Source organism: Homo sapiens, chromosome 15, assembly GCF_000001405.40.
Source record: "Homo sapiens chromosome 15, GRCh38.p14 Primary Assembly".
Taxonomy (NCBI): Eukaryota; Metazoa; Chordata; class Mammalia; order Primates; family Hominidae; genus Homo; species Homo sapiens.
In genome coordinates this window covers 57538745-57557060 of record NC_000015.10, presented here as the reverse complement: position 1 = coordinate 57557060, position 18316 = coordinate 57538745, and the positions used below count along the sequence as shown (strand labels likewise).

General features: G+C 50.4%; 1 protein-coding gene and 1 pseudogene across 22 annotated transcripts in view, besides 5 other annotated features; one reads left to right on the top strand and one right to left on the bottom strand.

The window, feature by feature from the left end:
• RPS13P7 (ribosomal protein S13 pseudogene 7) lies at positions 653-1156 on the top strand (annotated as a pseudogene).
• Positions 2373-2948: an enhancer, noted in NCBI's record as "H3K27ac-H3K4me1 hESC enhancer chr15:57846311-57846886 (GRCh37/hg19 assembly coordinates)". NCBI's record gives its function as "activates a minimal SCP1, AML or CMV promoter by ChIP-STARR-seq in primed H9 embryonic stem cells {active_cell/tissue: H9 hESC(primed)}" and the evidence as "EXISTENCE:reporter gene assay evidence [ECO:0000049][PMID:30033119]".
• Positions 5056-5350: an enhancer, noted in NCBI's record as "tiled region #1731; K562 Activating non-DNase unmatched - State 21:Repr". NCBI's record gives its function as "activates a minimal TATA promoter and a strong SV40 promoter by Sharpr-MPRA in K562 cells {active_cell/tissue: K562}" and the evidence as "EXISTENCE:reporter gene assay evidence [ECO:0000049][PMID:27701403]".
• The window catches only part of CGNL1 (cingulin like 1), a 174213-nt gene continuing 162240 nt past the window's right edge, over positions 6344-18316 (bottom strand). For 14 of the 22 annotated variants that reach the window (XM_047433184.1, XM_047433186.1, XM_011522121.3 and 11 more), the window contains 5 exons: positions 13282-13365; positions 12464-12588; positions 11361-11469; positions 10822-10985; positions 6344-9709 (listed from right to left, as the gene is read on the bottom strand). In XM_047433184.1, the coding sequence (XP_047289140.1) occupies positions 9571-9709; positions 10822-10985; positions 11361-11469; positions 12464-12588; positions 13282-13365 (621 nt within the window). In that variant the 3' untranslated portion in view covers positions 6344-9570. The remainder of the gene's footprint in view (positions 9710-10821; positions 10986-11360; positions 11470-12463; positions 12589-13281; positions 13366-18316) is intronic. The other 8 variants (XM_047433190.1, XM_047433188.1, NM_001252335.2 and 5 more) reach the window with 1 other exon arrangement.
• Positions 10493-11121: an enhancer, noted in NCBI's record as "H3K4me1 hESC enhancer chr15:57838138-57838766 (GRCh37/hg19 assembly coordinates)". NCBI's record gives its function as "activates a minimal SCP1, AML or CMV promoter by ChIP-STARR-seq in naive H9 embryonic stem cells {active_cell/tissue: H9 hESC(naive)}" and the evidence as "EXISTENCE:reporter gene assay evidence [ECO:0000049][PMID:30033119]".
• Positions 15806-16125: an enhancer, noted in NCBI's record as "active region_9463". NCBI's record gives its function as "activates an Ori minimal core promoter by ATAC-STARR-seq in GM12878 lymphoblastoid cells {active_cell/tissue: GM12878}" and the evidence as "EXISTENCE:reporter gene assay evidence [ECO:0000049][PMID:35858748]".
• Positions 16266-16605: an enhancer, noted in NCBI's record as "active region_9462". NCBI's record gives its function as "activates an Ori minimal core promoter by ATAC-STARR-seq in GM12878 lymphoblastoid cells {active_cell/tissue: GM12878}" and the evidence as "EXISTENCE:reporter gene assay evidence [ECO:0000049][PMID:35858748]".

Below are 18316 nucleotides of genomic sequence, written 5' to 3'. Positions count from 1 at the left end.
GTCACTGTGCCATTGATCAGGTCAGCCCTTGGGGTCTTACCACTCCCCGGTGTGGCTACTAAGGTACTGACTTCCTTTAGACTATTTTTTAAACAATGCACCCCTAATTACACTTGAGATATTTTAGAATCTTGGTAGAATTTGAGCACCCTACAATATAGCTCCCAGCCTGGCCTGCCCTGGCTCTGCTCCACAGTGTCCCCCTGCCAGCCTTCCCCGTACCCAAAGACTCTGCTGTCTGGATTCCACTACAGCGACCTTCAGTTTCTAACTGAAGGGGGTGATCTTTTGTTTTAAAAAACTGCAGGGCATTTGTGTGAGCAACCCTCTCACCCATCCGACCATCCAAGGAGGGCTGCGAGCACCATGACCCATAGCAACAGCAGCCAGGGAAGAACAATGGCCAATTCCACATCAGAGTGTCTTGGTTGTTCTTCCAGGTCTTCAAACAACTGCTTTTAAGAAATTTTTGCCCACCTTTTCTAGTTGTTCCCAGAGGAAGAGTTCAGTTTGATACCAGCTACCATGTCATGCCTGAAGCAGAACTCAACTCCTTTTGAAGCGGATGGCATATAAAGCAATCAGTATTTTAAAAACTCAACATTCAACACTTAATTTGCCAAAAAAAATGACCATAAAAAAATAAAAACAGCCTTTCACTGCCTGACTGCCGCCGTCACGGGTCACATTCATGTGCCCGGGAAGGGCCTGTCCCAGTCGGCTTTGCTCTATCACCACAGCGTCCCCACTTGGCTGAAGTTGACATCTGACAATGTGAAGGAGCAGATTTACAAACTGACCAAGAAGGGCCTGACTCCTCCACAAATCGGTGTGATCCTGAGAGACTGACATGGTGCTGCAAAAGTGCGTTTTGTGACAGGCATAAGAATTCTTAAGTCTAAGGGACTTGCTCCTGATCTCCCTGAAGATCTCTACCACTTAATTAAGAAAGCAGTCGCTGTTCAAAAGCATCTTGAGAGGAGCAGAAAAGACAAGGATGCTAAATTCCTTCTGATTCTGATAGAGAGCCGGATTCACCGTCTGGCTCGATATTATAAAACCAAGCGAGTCCTCCCTCCCAGCTGGAAATATGAACCATCTACAGCTTCGCCCTGGTTGCATAAATTTGTCTATGTACTCAAGCAATAAAGTGATTAAAAAGAAAAACAAATGACTAAATAATCTACATCAACATAGGCCTCAAAAAAATGTAATTTTGAATGTAAAAGTCAGAGTACTATATACAAGACGCTGAGATGTATATGACATTTTAAAACACACAAAACATACTACATGGTGTTCATGGATGCATACACGTAAAAATAAAATTGAATAGAATACCCAGCAGATTTGAGAATAGTGGTTGCCTTTGGCAGGGAGTGAGGGACAAAAAGAGAACTTCAATTTTATCTGTAATGTTTATTTAAAAATGTAAAGCAGACAGATATGAACAGCTGTTAACCACTGTTAATTCTTGGTGGTGGAAACATAAACAAACCAAATCCCTCCATTGGAAATGCCCAGAGATCAGATGTCAAGCCTTGTTATCTTGCCTATTTCTTCCTTCCTCTCATTTGCTCCTCCCTAAATGTCCATGTTGCTGTTGTTGGTAGCAGAGTCACTGTGACTAAGTCCACAGCTGGCTTAACATCTGCCCAGCAGGCTCTGGACACAGGCTGGCACTTCTTAGAAAGCACACGCTCCACATGATGACCAGCGCAGGGGTGGAGGAGCGCTATGCTTCCAGCCTGCACCCCTCTGACTCTCTCACAGGGAATAACCAACCCTGGTTATCTGGGGTGCATCTAACCTTTCCACAGGGCCTGGGAAGGCCACGGGACTTTAGTAAGCCCCAAAGCAACTTGCACCTTGATTTTAGAATCCAGCAGCCGTGAAAATACAGACAAAAGAAAAAATTTTGCCATGAAGGGGAGGAGGTAGTAGAGTGAGTTATTCATTCTCTGCTTCAGAAAATGAACTTAGTTTAGAAAACCATCCATGTGTAAGTCAGGAACAAGCACTGCTTAGGAAGGCCAGAGCTTTGGATCCTACCCAGGCTGGAGGAAGCGGCAGGTTGAAAGGAGGCCAGGTCTGTTTTCTAGTTCTTCATTATCTAAATACAAGCAGCAGCTTCCCCAGGAAGAACAGACAGAGACATGAGGGAGCCGGAGCCCCAGAGGGAGCTTGGGCACCCATTTTACAAATCCCTCGCTCTGCAGGGAGTCCTATGCCTGTCTCCAAAGAGCCTCATTATTCATGCCCAACGATAGGCAGGGACGGATGAAAGGCGAGGCAGCCCCAGCCACGGAGAGAAGCGAGCAAACCAAGGAGCTGGAATGGCAGCCTTCCCGGCCCTTTCCAAGGCAGCAGGGCCTTTCACTGGAGGCAGCTGGCTTATCTTAATCTCCAAACCCTTTCCTGGAAAACAAGCCCATCCTAGAAGGGCCAGAGGCCCAGAGGTAGCTGGAGTCAGTGAGTCAGGCTGGCAGCACGCAGCAGGTGGCAGGGGGTTTTGCAGAAAGGAGAGGCAGGCCATCTGCCTTCCCTTAGAGTGGGCCTCAGGCTGCAAGCACAGACTTGCAATCCAGAAGCCCAGCCTTTGTGCCCAGTGTCCTCAGCTAGGGAAGCCAGCAGTGACTATTTCAGAGGGGCAGCAGGGTGAGAATGTACAGGGTAAGGGTGAGAATGTACAGGGTGAGAATGTACAGGGTAAGGCCACTCTGGGTGGTTAGAGTGACAGACCTGGGACTTTAGCCACTTTAGCTACTAGTTGGGTGACCCTGGGCAAGTTACTGATCTTTACACACATTTCCTAACACATGAAAGCGGGTAATGCCACCTACCTCACAGGGTGCAGATTAAATCAGATAAAGTGCAAAAGATTCTTGGCCCGTAAGGTCTGCCCAATTATGGCTTCTGCCCTGTTAAGTGATCTTAGGCATTAGTAAAGAACCATTCCCGCTGCCCCAAAATACTACTGAGTCTGTTCCCATAGTAAAGTTTTACAGTCCCTGGGAGGGGTCCAGAGGAGATGCCCTGGATCTGTACGTGTGGCAGGGGCACTACCCACCACCTGCACACACAACCCTTCCCACCTCCAGCCCACCACACACTGCGCCAAAAGGCTGGTCCTACTTCCACAGCTGTAGCCCTGCTACTCATGGGAAAGGCTGGGGGCCCAGGCATCTGCCTCCTTCCAGATGAGCTCTGCACATGCCCGTAAGTCCCAAAGCTTGCTGTAACCCACAAGGTTTCTCCCTGTCTGGACACAGGTCAGCCTCCTGCCCACTCACAGGGAGGCAGAGCCCATTCCCACTGGGACCACTCCCCTGGCTTGGCAGAGACTATGCTGCCACCTCCAGGAAGACAGCTCACTGCTGCGAAGCCCAGGTTTCCAGCCTCCAGCCCAACACCCAGTACTCGGGCTAGAGGTCTGATTAGGACTTCAGTCGACAGTGTTCTGTTGGGGACAGTCTGCTGATTTCAGGTTGCAAGTGCAGTTTTGCATGTGAGACTAACACGTAATGTGCACCACACGACGATTATTATTATTATGGTACAGCGACAGGAGACTTTCGTCACAAAGCAGTCTGGGGGTTGGGAAGATAAATGTTCCCTGAAAACCACCCAAACTCGAAGACTTGCTGATGTTGCCCCAAAACCACTTTCCATACAGTGAGAGAGTGGGGAGGCCCAATGACCAAGCAGAGCAGCCACCCCACGCAGCTCAGACTCAGAGAAATCAGGGTGGCCTGGCAGCAAGGGAGCACTCAGGATAAAATGAGAGATCCAAAGATCACAGCAGTAAGTGGCACCAAAGCAGCCAGGCTAGAGGAACAGCTAAGATTTCCTGGCCAGCCACGTCCATGAGACCCGTGGCTTCCATGGCTCACTTCATCTCCACCTGCCTCTGACTGCTGTGCTCAGGATGGAGGCAGGCAGCAGGCTGTCGAGTTGCATGGAAACCGGCCATTGAAGGGGAGATCTGGATGACTGGGAGTCCGTAGGAGCCCCTAATACAGGGACCAAATTAAAGACCTATGTCCTCTAGGACGTGTAAGGCTGGGTGAGAGGCAGCAGAGTGTGAACTCCAGAGCCAGACCCAGAATCCAATTCCAGTTCCCCCACATCCTACCACATGCCCTTGGTTAGGTTAGTAACCTCTGCCTGGGTTGCCTCACTTGTCACAACAGGACCTACTCAGGGGATGATCGTGAGGATCAAGTGAGCCAATAGGCATAAAGGGCTTAGGCAATGCCTGGTACCTAGCAAGTGAGTGCAACACATTAGCTGTGGAATTATATATGGTCTCAGGGAAAACAGTGGGTATGGACTGCAGATAGAGAGCTAGCAAAGCACAAGGAAAAACAGACACGTTTGGCATCACATAAATATATGAAGGACTTAATATTGACAGGTCATTTCCACTTAGTTTCATAACGATTTTGTAGCCCTACTGTAAGCACCTAAAGGTCCTAGACCGTGGCCTAAACCTTGTTCACCGGCGGTTCCTGTCCCACACTGGCAGGTGCTAATTGTGGGCTGGCTACTTACTCTATGTGCGGCTGATGGCAAAATGCCCAACTTCCCTGAGACTTAGCTTCCTTACCTCCCAAAAAACCAGTTTCCACCTTTCTTCAAAAATTGTTTAATTGCATTTACCCTGCAAACCTCTGGAATCACATTTCCCATCCCCTGGGAGTTGTTGACAACTGTTGTGAGACCAAGTAAGATCCTGCGCAGTGGGAACCTTGCAACCTTCCCCCCACACTACCTTCAACTTACTGTTGAATGTCTCTCCGACTTGCACTTCTCTTAGCTTTCATAACCAGTGAGGGGCACACACTCCAGCCTTTCTTTATTGACGGAGATGGGCTGGGCCTTGGTCATGCCTGTGAAAGTCAGTGACAATCTTTAGCCCTGTGTATTCGGCAGGTCTGAGGGCAGGACCAAGGCATGTGGATCCCTCTGCAAAGCCTAGAACGTCTGAATTTGGGGCTGTTACACCCCTGAGAGGAACCTGTCAAGTCATTTCTCCCCAATCATTTGAAGATTTAGAACAGAAACATTTCCGGCTAATGACAGTCTTCCAACAAAGACAGGCTCCCCGTAACTATCCACAAGCTCAGAGGAGGAATGCTGAGAATGTGAAGGAAATGAACTGCCGGCCTGGGGGACGTTTTTCCTTTGGCTCTGGGCCTCCTGAGTCACATTCTTCCTGAGGGCGTGAGGGAAAGGTATCCGCTCAGAATCTCATTTCCACCAAGAGGACTTCAGCTGAGGGGCCAAATAAAGAGGCCTAAATACAAAAGCAAATAATGCTAAAAAGGGTGACTTTTACTACAAATTAGAAAATTATGTACCTCATCATACATGACTTTAAAAAAAAAAAAAAAGGAAACAATCTATACAAAGGCTTTGCATTTACTAAAATTAAAAAATCTCATTTACATTAGGTTACCCCTTCCAATTAGAACCAGGAGAATCAGTGCTGCTAGAGAGCTGGAGGGACAGGTCATCCACATTGACCTGGAGGCAGAGGCGGTTGTGGACAGAGCTCTGGACAGGACACAGCAGTGAACTGCGGCAGCTCAATGAAGGGCTGCTCTGGTGGGTGGGCAGTGTGGCAGGAACCCACCAAGGTAGGGACCCAGAGAGGAACAGCAAGAGAAAGCCATGACCCGCCCTTAGAACTGGAGGCTGAAGGAGAGATCACCCAAGTCCCAGGGGAGCCCACTTGAAAGTGCCACACAGAGCAGGGAGTGATGCAGACACATCCAGAATTCCACCTGCTCCCACTGGCTGAACCCAACCAGAGTGGCCATCAGGGAACCCATGGCCTGTATGGGTCAGCCTCCAGGGGACAGGGCAAAGAATAGACAGATCTGAGGACAATGATCATCATTGGTCCCCTTCCATGAGGAAGCTGCTTTGGTTTCTGTAAAATAGAGACTGTGGTGCCTGCTATGGGCCTGGTGTGAGATCAAGAGAGATTATGGGCCAACTAGGATTGCAGAAGACCTCGAATTTAGGAAAAGGGGTAAACAGGGGGCTCCTGCTTATTCTGTAATTAACATTGAACATGCTTCCTCTTTTGCCATGTTCTGGAACGGGCAGTTTGGATTTCTCAGAACATCACAAGAATCCAGAGCCATTAATTCCCTCAGCATTCACCACTGACCAGTCCCCACCCTTCTGTTTCAGAAACCGGTCCCAGGGCTGGAAGGCCTCCAAGTTCCACTTCCCTCAGTAGCTCCCAGCCACTCACCTTGGCAGTTTCTTAAAGGACACAGAGCCAAGCTCTGGAGAAAACAAAGAAGTCACAATCACAGGAGAGTCAAAATTCCCATTGGGTGACAGCGTTTATTGAAAGGAAATCTTGCTTTATCCAGGAATTCACTCACATGGAGGTAGCTGCAAGGAGAATGTCTCTTTCTCATGACAACCAAAGCGACCAAACCATACCCTAAAGCAGAGACGCAATGGAATAAGTCAACGGGCATTGTAGAACGACACTCAGAAGCAGGAAAAACCATAAAAGATACAGGATGATTGTCTCTTCAGTATTGCATTTGGCCATGTATGTGTTTTTACATAAAATATATGTTTTCTTTTTAAGCTAGCTAAAGAAAATACTCTTGATCGGGGTTAGTTCTTAAAGCAAAAAACAGAAGAAAAGTATGTATATATAATAAAATTAAAGAACGATAGCATGTTATACCTGGAAAGGACCGTGGGCACTAATCTGCACTTTGTTCCAGGTAATCCATGGCTCTGAGAGTGAGCACACTGTCAAAGTCACTGGGGTGAGATGAGCCGGGACTTGAAAACCCTTCTCTTAACTTTCAGTCTCAACTCTTCCCACTCCACTATACCGCATGCGTTGCCAACTCCCTCAGAGTGTAGGATAGCGCAATTGTCAAAACGCATAACAGCCTATTTTTAGGGTAATGATGCAAGTGTTTTGAAAAGTGACCTGTGTTCTCTTTGCATGGGCAGTTTTGCTTCTTGTAGCCAGCCCCATGGCTACTGGAAAGAACTGGCCAGAATGAGGGGCAGCTACTTTCTCACAAACCAAAACAGACACACACTCCCAAAGTTCTTGGGTGTGCTGACCTTCCCCAGCAGCGTCTCTAGGTATGAGTGGGCTGAGGCTTCTCTCAGCAGGCTTACTGGCAGATGTCTAACGATGGGAGAAGCAGCAGGGAAATTATGAACATATTGAGGGTCAAAGTGAGCTCTAGGGAACCAGGCTTGTTGCGTCCTCAGAAGGACAGACAGAGGGCTGAGTACAGAGGTGCTCAACCTCCATGTCGATTTGATTGTCATTTATCACCCCCTTTCCTGACACTGAGCTCCAGGAGGGGAGGAATTTTTGCCTGTTTAATTCACTGCTGTATTCTGTGTGCCAAGGACTGTGCCTGACACATCACCGATGCCCAATAAATATGTGCTAAATGAATGAATGACTAAAGGGAGGAATCGGCCACACCCCACATAAGCAGGCAGAGGTGAGAATCACCCCTGGCTGTGGTGAGGATGACAGTGACCCTGTAGATGTGGAAGGGGCTTGGCTGTCTGGCTCCAGACTCCCACCCTTAAACTGGGCTGACCACTCTGAAACCTGCCGGGTGGGCTCTGACCTGGCACAGGTGGGACTCCATGGCTACTGTCATGGAGTCCTCTGGCCCACAGGCCCCCACCCTATTGGGATGGTTGGGGACACTGCTGAAGCAGCTGAACACTACCATCTCTGCCACATATATGTCACCAACTCACAGGGTCCTCTCCCTGACCATGTCCTGTCCCATATTCTGACCTGTGGAAGCCCAGCTGTGACTGGGCCTGGCCTGTGGGCATGCCTGGGGACTGTCACATTGTGAAGTGACACAGGAAGGCCAGGAGGGAGTCCCTGGATATGTAGCATCCTCCCGATGCTATGCTCCCTGAAATTCCTCTCCAGCCATGTGGCCTGGCCCCCAGACCTCAACCACTCCCTGCCAGCCTGCTGCTGGCGATGTCGCTTTGTTCCAGGAAGTTGGAAGGAGTCCTCCAGTTTGCACAGACACGCCTCTGCCTGACTTCTGTTTCTTTCTTCCCTTCCTCGACATAACCCTGAGATCCTGCTCAATCCACCTCTTGCCCACACATCCCCCAGCTTTCAAGAACTTCTCTGTCTTCCTTCTCACACTGGGCCCCATACCCACATCTGCCTATCTCCTCTCTCATCTCCCTTCCCCCATGACCTTACCAGACACCTCCCACCTCATTCTCACACCTAAGTCTATGAACCTTTCCCCCATACCCTCTTATTCCCCCGATCCCAAAAGCTTGCTGTGGGACATGACCACACAGCCCTATCCTTCCAGAAACGGCCTCATTTGTTTAAGGCCTTACCTACAACTCTCCCTACCCAACCTGTGTAAAAGAAATTGCAATCAGTGACTGGGAACAGGTCTCAGAACAGTTCAGAAATTATAACAGAATTCCAGATAAACTAAGCAAACAAGGCCATAGCTGCAGTCACAGACACAAGCAACCTTCTGGCTTTCCCCTGTGCCAGTGACTTGTTTACCCAGACCATGTGAACTGCTATGCTCAGTCTTAGCTGTCCATGACCACTACAATTCTTCTTTTCCAACTTTGGTTTCCAAACTGGTCTTTGACTTTATTTGACTTTCTCTCTCTCTCTCTCTTCTCACCTCTGCTCCTCAACACTTAAAATCTAATAGCTTCATATTTTAAAAAAGAATACTCAATGGCTGGGCGTGGTGGCTCATGCCTGTAATCTCAGCACTTTGGGAGGCTGAGGCAGGTGGATCACCTGAGGTCAGGAGTTCAAGACCAGCCTGACCAACATGGTGAAACCCCGTCTCTACTAAATACAAAAAATTAGCCAGGAGTGGTGGTGGTCATCTGTAATCTCAGCTTCTTGGGAGGATGAGGCAGGAGAATCACTTGAACCAGGGAGGCAGAGGTTGCAGTGAGCCAAGGTTGCGCCATTGCACTCCAGCCTCGGCAACAAGAATGAAACTCCATCTCAAAAAAAAAAAAAAAGAATACTCAATATAGATGCATGAACTTTACAAACCAGCCACCCTACCAAGCCTCCATCACATTCCAAACCCAACAGCAGCAGTTCGTGAGAAGGTCTGGTTTAAAATATGTACAAGCTATACATGGTTTCCTCCCTGCACAGTGCTATTAAGTAAGTCCTAGCCTTCTGGACCCTTTGTCTTGGCAGGGGGAGTGATGAGGGGGCAGGGACAGCAATGCAAATAGTGGCTGTGGAACAGGGGCCTCAGCCTACCAAAGTGTATCTCTCACAACACCCCAGTGGGTGGTGGCTCCTGGTCCTCAGGCATCCCAACATTTTAAACTGCAAAAGCTCTCTGTCGAAGACCCACTGAGAGACCCTGGCGAGGAATGTAACACTGAGGAGCTGGCATGCTGTGCAAAGAGGCTGTGATTGGTCTCAGTGGCAGACAGATGCTCCCCTCCCTGCCTCCCACTTTGGGTGGCTGCAGCTCCTGCAGGAATGACAGGTACTTCCACAGCCCGGGAGAGCACTCAGATCTGGCTGGCGACGGTGCTGTCCTTGGAGAATGTGTAGCTCACAGGCGCCTCATAGAGGCTTCCCCCATCCGTGCTGAGGTCATCGTCGTCATCCATGTCATCCAGCACTTTACTCGGCAGCTTCTTCAGTCTGCTGAAATGACAAGGGGCATGTTTCCTGGCCCTGGGCCGGGGCCCATAGCTAATTTGGACTTAAAGGGAGGGTTTTGGGTTGCTGTCCCTGCACCCCACTGAGTGGCACAGAAAAGAAACACATGAATGTAACAGGTCTCCACCTGATGGCCCCTTCAGCCACAGGGAGTCCACCGCCCCCATTTCGGCACGGAAAGCCTGTGCTGGTGGGGTGGGCCAGGCTGGGATAGGATCAGTATTGTTGATTTCCCCAGGCTGTTATTATTGATCTTGTCTTAATTTAAAATTTTGGTATCTTGTTCACCATGGATTGCATGCATTATCTTTTAAATATTGCATTAAAATGTTATCTATCTTAATTATTGAGATTTTTGGTGCCCTCTTAAATGCTGCACCCTAATGCCAACCTTGGGGCCAGTGACCTGATAGGCCCTGTTTTACAGGACTCTCAATGGGCTGGAGCCTTCTGTCCATTGATGAGAACTACCCGGGCAGCCAGCAAAGAGCCCCACGTCACAGCCAGCCTCCAAGAAAGGCTCAGCTCTATGGATTACCATGAACCTAATCTCATGAACCTTACCTCATACCCCGGGGAGAGACCCTAGAGCAGAAAAAGCAACCCACAAAGTCCCCAACCCTGCATTCCACGTCCCCATCCTTAGGACCACGGCAGACAGCTTCAGAGAGCTGCTCTCTCCTGGAAACCAGGCTTGGGGAATCCTAGTCCTCTTGAGGATACAAACCAGAACTTCACCTTATTTCTCCCTAAGTCAGAAAAAAGCCCAGGATGGCCCAGGAACTGCCCCTCCATGATGGTGTGAGCTAGTCTTATCTGCCCTAAGCCTCTGTTTCCCCTTATGATCAACAGGGATGATATCTACCCAGCTCAGCTGGCATTGGGGCATTGGTATAAGAATGACATGCATGAGACCCTACTGCCCATGTAAGGTGACTAAAGTGGACACAGCCACCTTCATCTCTAAGATACGATAACCCCAAAAGCAACAATGAGGAGCTGGCTTGAGACAACAGGAGTGTGAATGCTCTGAAAGCAGAGCCTGTCTCAACTGTGGGGAGATTACCCGGCCCTCTGTGGCCTCCACACCTGCCCACCTTAAGTCCTTCTTCATGGAGTTGAGCTGCCCCTGCAGATGCTCATTCATGTCCATCTGCTCCTCCAGCTCCCTCTGCAGCTTCTTTTTAGAACTTTCCAGTCTGTCGATTTCCTCCTCAGCCTCCTCCACCTGCCGCTTCATGGCTTTCAAACGCAAGCTCAGCTGCACCGGGAGAGAATGTGGGCTGAGTGCCGGCTGATGGCCCAGCCCCAGCGCTCAGCTTACCCCAGGTCCAGCCACCATCTCCCCAGGCAACCAAGACATGGGCAATGGGGCAGCCAGTCTCTTGGGAAACATGGAGAGCAGGCACTAAGACAGGGTGACTCTTTAAAGCCAAACTCAGGGTGTAGAATTTGCTGATATCCCCTAATTACGTAGGCAAGAAGCCCCCATTTGATGATGTGACTGGGTGCGTGGAAAGGGAGGAATCAGCCCACTCACACTCCACTCCTGCTCAGGGAGGCCTTGCCTCCCTTGCTCCCTCAGCCTGAGACACGCAATCTCATCTAAGAGCAAATGCACGCAGAGGCTCCCCACCTGGTCCTTCTGATCAGTCAATGACAGGTGCTCATCATCCACCTGCATCACCAGCTCCTTCACTTTCCGCTCCAGCCGCCGGTTGCTGAGCTGAAGATTGGCCCGATCCCTGGAAGAGGGGAGACAGAACCAAGAACCCTCTCACTCCCATCCCTGCAGGGGGCCCAGCCTAGGCTGTGGAGGAGGGGAAGCTCCAGCCAGGGGTGCCTGGTCAGCTCAAGGCTTAGGGTCAGGGAAACACAACTTCACAGCAGAAAAAGCTGCTTGTGAGAGACGTGAGGAAATGGGGCTCTGAGAAGGGGAGTGACTGGCCCAAGGCTTCAGAGCCAGCAAGGGGCTGAGCCATGGCTCGACCTGCCCGGAGTTTCTGAGCTTTACTTTGTAAGGCAAGAAGTCACAAACTGCAGATGTCTTGGGTCTACTCCAGGCTGTTCTGGCCTGACTCCCCAAAAGTCCAACTAACACAATAGATAATGTAAAGTGTCAAATGCCGGCACACCACGCTCCTTCTAGGAAGGTGAGGGGCTGTGAGTCAGAACGACTGCTGGAAGGCTGCTCAAGTTGAACCTGGTGCTGGCCCTCGGGCTGCCATTAGAGAGTTAGCTGCAGAGAACTGAGTTGCTGGAAAGGAGTGTGCTCACTTGATCCCATGTCCCTCCCACACACTGCGGGAGGACCTGCCCCATCTCTGACTGGTGGCTAGTCAGCCTCTGCTTAAATACACCTGGCCGCCAGGGCAGAGTCAGCCTTCTGGCCTCTAACGTGGCTCAAACTCTGTAGCTTCCAAGGCAGCCTGTCCTATTTAGAGAACGGGAAAAGGGACAGCAAGTACAGTGGCACCACCATAGACTGAGAAGTGGGGGTCCTAAACTTTTACCCAGCTACACCAGTATCCAGCCAGGCTACCTTACTCAAGTCACTTATTTTGATGGGTCTCTGTTTTCCCACCTATAAAATGGAAATAATAAAAGTAAGGGTGTAGTTGCTCTGCCTTCCTCACAGGCTACGAGGATCAGGACAGATCCCAAATGTGACAACACATTGCGATGGGACTGTCACTGCCCACTGGGGCCTCCGCACTGCAGTGGGTGGGCCCGGCTCACCTCTCCTCACTCTCCAGGCGGTCCTCCAGCTCCGCGATCCTGGCCTCCATCTGCACAACCAGCCCCTCTTTGCTGGACCTGTAGGAACCTTCCAGGTGGATAATCCGGCTCTTTAAGTCCTTGTTCTGGAACAACACAGGGAGACTGTGAGGGGCTATGTGTCTGCCACGCTCTGTGCAGAGCAGCGAAGAATATGGGGCAGAACCTGGTGTTTGGTCGCTGCATGCGATGAGGCTGCTTTCCACACCAGGGCCTGTGGCCTGGAGACCTGGGGAACACAGAGATGTTTCCAAGGAAAACCCCTGAACTCAGCTGCAGGCCAGAAGAAGAAGTTCTATCACACTCCCTCATAAGCCTGAATGAAACCTTTGCCATGTCCTAAGACTCCCGGATGTCAAACGGGCTTTGCCTTGCCCTATAAACCTACAGGGGGACAGGAGAAATAGGCTCCTTTGCCAGTCCTGTGCAGTGAAGAACATGAACAGAAATCATGAAAAAGAAATAATGACCCGATGAAGTTTTCTGAGCCACTCATGTGTTTGATGACGTGGATTCTTTTTCATTCTCTTTACATTAGAATTTAGCCCTCTTCAGGATCTAGAAAATAACACATGCAATTCCTCCTCCCTCAGCTGCCAAGCTTCCATGCAGATTTCATATGACCGGGAAAAACAACTCTGGAAAAGGACTGTTACCCCCCAGAGTTCTTGGGATGCCAAGTAAAGGAGGGACCTCCAAGGGCTTCTAGTTCAAAGCAGTGAAGTGGGGGAGGGTTAGCGGATGGACGGGGGGGCAGCTCACAGGCTGGCTGCCCTCACCTGCCTCTCCAGGGAAATCTTGTCGCACTCCAAGTCTTGTCTCGCAGCTCTCTCCTGAAGTAGCTCATTCCTCAACTGCTCCATCTACAGCAAGCAGAACAAAAGCCCAGAGGTTAGAAGGACTGTTCCTGTATCTTTTGTACTGAAATGGTGGCAAGGAACTGAATGTCAACCTCCACTTTATGAAGGGGGTTGCCCTACCCAGCCCCTCGTGCCATCTGCTCTGGGGTACGGGATCTGTTTCTTAGTTCTTTCTTGGTTTCTTGATGATTGCAATACTGGTAATACAAATAACAGTAAGAGTCAAAGCTAGCCCTGCTGTTAGGGGTTGAACTGTGTCCCCTCAAAAAGATATGTTGACGCCCTAATCCCCAGTACCTCTGCCGTGACCTTATTTGGAGATGGGGACTTTAGAGAGGTAATCAAGTTAAAAATGAGATTATTAAGGTGGGCCCTAATCCAGTATGGCTGGTGTCCTTTAAAAGGGGGAAATTTGGATGCAGAGACAAACACGTACACAGGGAAGACGGCCACGTGAAGATGGACACAGGGAAGTGGAGATGGAGGATTGGGGTGATGGGTATACAAGCCAGTGATTACCAAAGATTGCCAGAAACCACCAGAAGCTAGGAGGAGGCAAGGAATCATTTCCCTACTGGTCTCAGAGGCAGCATGGCCCTGGTAACACTCTGATTTCAGATTTCTGGCCTCCAGAACCATGAGACAATAGATTTCTGTTGTTTTAAGGCACCCAGGTTGTGTTACTTTGTTACAGCAGCCCTAGAAAATTGGCACACCTGCTTAGACTCCACAGGTAGGATCCTATGACACTCACAAACAACCCTCAGAAGGAGCTAACAGTATCTCTCTGAGGATACTAAGGCTTCCAAAAGTCAATCAACTTGCAGGGTGACCCACTGTCTAAGTTTGCCTGGACTGAGGATGTTCTCAGGCTGTTTCCATGCTGAACTGGGACAGTCCCAGGTGAACCAGGATGAGTCAGTCACTCAACTTCCCCAAGAGGTACATAACGAGGAATGGGGGAGCTAGCATTCACCTGTGCTCCTGACTGCTGCATTATAAGCTCAAACTCCAGAAGCGGCTTCCCAGAGCCATGAGCATATCTCAGACACTGCTAGATTTCTCCTTTTTTATGCCAGAAACAAAAGTCAGTAAGAATGCTGAGCAACATCAGACGACCTGACAAAGGCTGAACACTCCTGAGGGTTTCCTCTATGCTCAGGAAAGGAGCCTCGCTGTGTAGCACCAGGGAAGAAATCCCATCGCCTGACCATCAGCATCTCTTCTCCCAATTCCCAGTGGCTTGTGCAAGAGTAAAATGAGTTATGAGGCGGAGGCTCCAGACCCTGTTGCCAGAACTGTCCAGCAGAGGGCAGCCTGAAGAAGCCAGAAGAATCAAGCTAAGCCAGTAAAATAAAACCACCTTTTCCTTCTTAAGGATGAAAACGAATTCCAGGATCCAACGTGGCTAAGAGGTACACACACAGCCCCAGACACCAGGGCCTGGAGAGCATCTGACACAGGCTTACTTGGCCTGGCCTCAAGTTGAATTTCGCCACCTGTACAAGCACCCCAGTGAGTAAAAGATAAGCTCACCCCTTCCTCACTGTCCCCCATGGAGAGCAAGAACTGGGGTCCCAGGAATGGCCAGAGGAGACATCCCACATTGGGCCAGGCTTGCATTTGCTCCCTGGCTCCCCTTGTCCTGACCGAGGTGTGTCACACAGCATGATGTCACTGGCCCAGAGTGGGCAACGGGGAAGGGGGCTAAATGATGCTGGTGGGACAGGCAGGGTTGGGACACAAAGGCCTCCAACACCACAGGGGGAAGCTGGGCCTCTGCCCCTAGGTGAGGGGGTACCAGGTGGTCCAAAGAAAATGCTCACATTTTAAAATTCCTAACTGGCAGGCATCTAAATCATGGAGGTTCAGAATGTTCAGCAGAGGAAACTGAGGCCTACGGCAGCGGTTATGCAAGTAACCTCAGGAGCAGGGCTAGAGACAGGCTGAGCCCCTGCACTGCCCATTACTTCATGGCTCTGTCTCTGGACCATCTAAGTGAAAAGGATTCCAATAGGCCTAGAGTTCAAATGCAGCTGTAGCATAAACATCCGGGCACAGAAGGGCAGTCCAGCCTCCTTAGGGCATCTTGCATAGAGAAGGGAAAAATGCCAGCAGTGGCCAGGACCAGCAGGCAGGGCACGTCCACCCAACTCAGGCCCGCTCCCACTCTGCTGGGCCCCAGGGCCCTCACGAATCACACACTGCAAAGAGGGCACCAGAACAATTGCTGTTACTGTTACCCCAGCACAAAGTGCAAGGGGAATGAATGCAGGCTCACGGCCCTGCTCCCAAGGTGGTTTCTGAACCAGCCACTGACACCTCACACATGGAGGTCAGCAGAACAGCTGGGCCACGGGACTGAGGACAGACGTGCCTCCCAGGGGCAGCCGTTCTGTTCATGTGCCCAGGGCAGGGCCCAGCACTTCACTGAGGACATGGTTAAATTTCCACTGCAATGGGAAACAATTACAGAGAAAAACAGCAGTGGCCTAACTTGTCCTGCTGGCTCTGTCTGTCCCTCACCTGTGACCTTGTTGATCTAACTTCTGGGATACAGGCTCCTAAGCAAGGAACTTGATTGAATGAGACACGCTGTAAGGGCCCCCGAGCTGGCCAATGATACAATAAAAGCACAACCTGGTGCCTCCTCTACCCTTCAGGGTACTGTGTGGCACCCTTCTGAGGAAGCCAGAGGCGCCTGCCTCCATCCTTAGGCAGAGCAGCCACCCCGTCTCTCAACCATTAGGAGTTTCCCCTGGGGAAAACCCACATTGTCATAATGAGAGCAAGCATGTGTCTGCGAGTGCACACGCTTGTGTGCTGGGCAAGGGTAGTCTCAGAACGATAGGATGGGTTTGTTCGCTGTTCAAACGACATGATGTGTCTTATGCAGGACATTGTGACAAAGAGACCCAGAAAGTGCCCGCTCTCCATATAGCCTAGTGGGGGACAAATGAACGAGCCCTGCATAAGAGGTCAGTGTCACTATGACAGGAAAGGACAGTGTGCTGGGGTGGGTGCACTGGGTGACTGCCCAGATTCAGAGGGCCAGCAAAAGCTTCCAGGACACAGACAGTAAGCTGAAACCTAAATGAGATCAGGGATAGACAGGGTAGAAAAAAGGGTAATATGGTTTGCCTGAGTCCCCACCCAAATCTCATCTTAAATTGTAGTTCCCACAATCCCCAGTGTCATGGGAGGGACCCAGTGGGAGGTAACTGAATCACGGGGGCGGGTCTTTCCCATGCTGTTCTTGTGACAGTGAATAATTCTCATGAGATCTGATGGCTTTATAAAGGGAAATTCCCCTGCACATGGTCTCTTTTGCCTGCCGCCATGTAAGACATGACTGTGCTTCTCATTCACCTTCAGCCATGATCATAAGGCCTCCCCAGCTATGCTGAACTGTGAGTCAACTAAACATTTATAAATTGCCCAGTCTCAGGTATGTCTTTATTAGCAGCATGAGAACAGGCTAATACAATGGGCAGGGTAGGGAATGCAGCTTTCAAAACCGGAAGGGGGCAGACCACCAGTAACACAGAGTAGGAGGTAAGAAAGAGAAGGGCAGTGTTGGAAGGAATTAGCCATATGAGGGAGGTGAGGGGGCAGGTTAAGCAATCGATGGATTGGGTGGAGAGGAAGACAGAGAGTAGTCACACAGGACCCAAAATCATACTGTGACAGCTGCTCACAGATTTATTGTGCTTAGGAAAGCAAGTCCTGCGGATTTGAATAGTATTATCTCATTTACTCCTGGCCACCACCAATGAGGTAGGCAGTGTTAACATCCCCATCTGTGCTTAGATTCCTCCTGGTGATGCATGTGGGGCCAACTGGGCGATGCCGGTGGAAGCCACAGAACAGGTGAGCCCACCAAGGAGCAATATATAAAGAATAAGGAGGATCTGCAGCTGTGCCCTGGGGATCCCCTCCAACCCCCCATGTCAGGGGAGGCAGGGAGAATCCAGGATCTATCCCAAAAGGCAAGAAGGGCAAGGACTGCCGGTAAAGCACACAGGCTGGACAAGAACCAAGTTTGCTTCTGGAAGGGTCTGCAGAGAGGTGAGCCTGACTGCAAAGCTCAGAGGAGGCGCTGGAGGTGAAGAGGTGGGAATAGACACCACACTTCTCCTCTGGAATCCAGCAGCGACTAAGACAGCAGCTATGACCCAGGGCTGGAGGGGGCACGAGGGTGTGCAAGAAATGCCCACACCTATTGTTAGGTGTCAATGAGAAGCCACAGAGGAGAGAAAAGTCACAACCAGTGGACATCGAGAAGGGAGTGTCACAGGAGAGCAGCCACCCAGCAAGTGGAGGGACAGGATCCAGCCCTGTCTTGGGGTCAGAATGTGGGTGGGGAGAGGAAGAGGATCCTCCAGGGCTTGGTGGAAGGCAGGAGCCTGTAGCTCAAAGGGAAGGTAGAGGCAAGAAAGGGACGGAAGGTAGATTATTTTCCGAAAAGTGAAGGGATAAAGAAAAACTGAAGGCTTGTAGAGAGACAAAGAAATCTAGTTGCTGTGGAGTGTGCGCCTGAAAAATACCAGAAGACAATAAACGGCCAGCAGAGCAGAGGCAGGCATCGCTCTGCAGCTGTGCTCCCGGCCAGGAGACCCAGAGGGGAAACACCAAGAATCAAGAGCCCCTCAAGCTGGGCGCTGGGCGGGAACTCTCCGAGGCAGATGTTATCACCCTGAGTTTCCAGGTGGGAGGTCCAGAAACAGCTTCTGAGTCAGAGTTAGGTGGAAGCAGCTTTGGGATTCCAACCTAGGTTTTCTGACAAAAACTCATACACTCTTTTTTCCCCTCCCCGTTGTGTCTTCGCAAACCTGTAGGACCTAGGACTCTCAATAAAGGAAGAAGACCCACAAGGAGAGTTTAGACCGGGACTGTGGAGCCCAGAAGGAGAACGTGTCTATGGTGGAGTGAGGCAGAGTGCAGAGAGCGCATG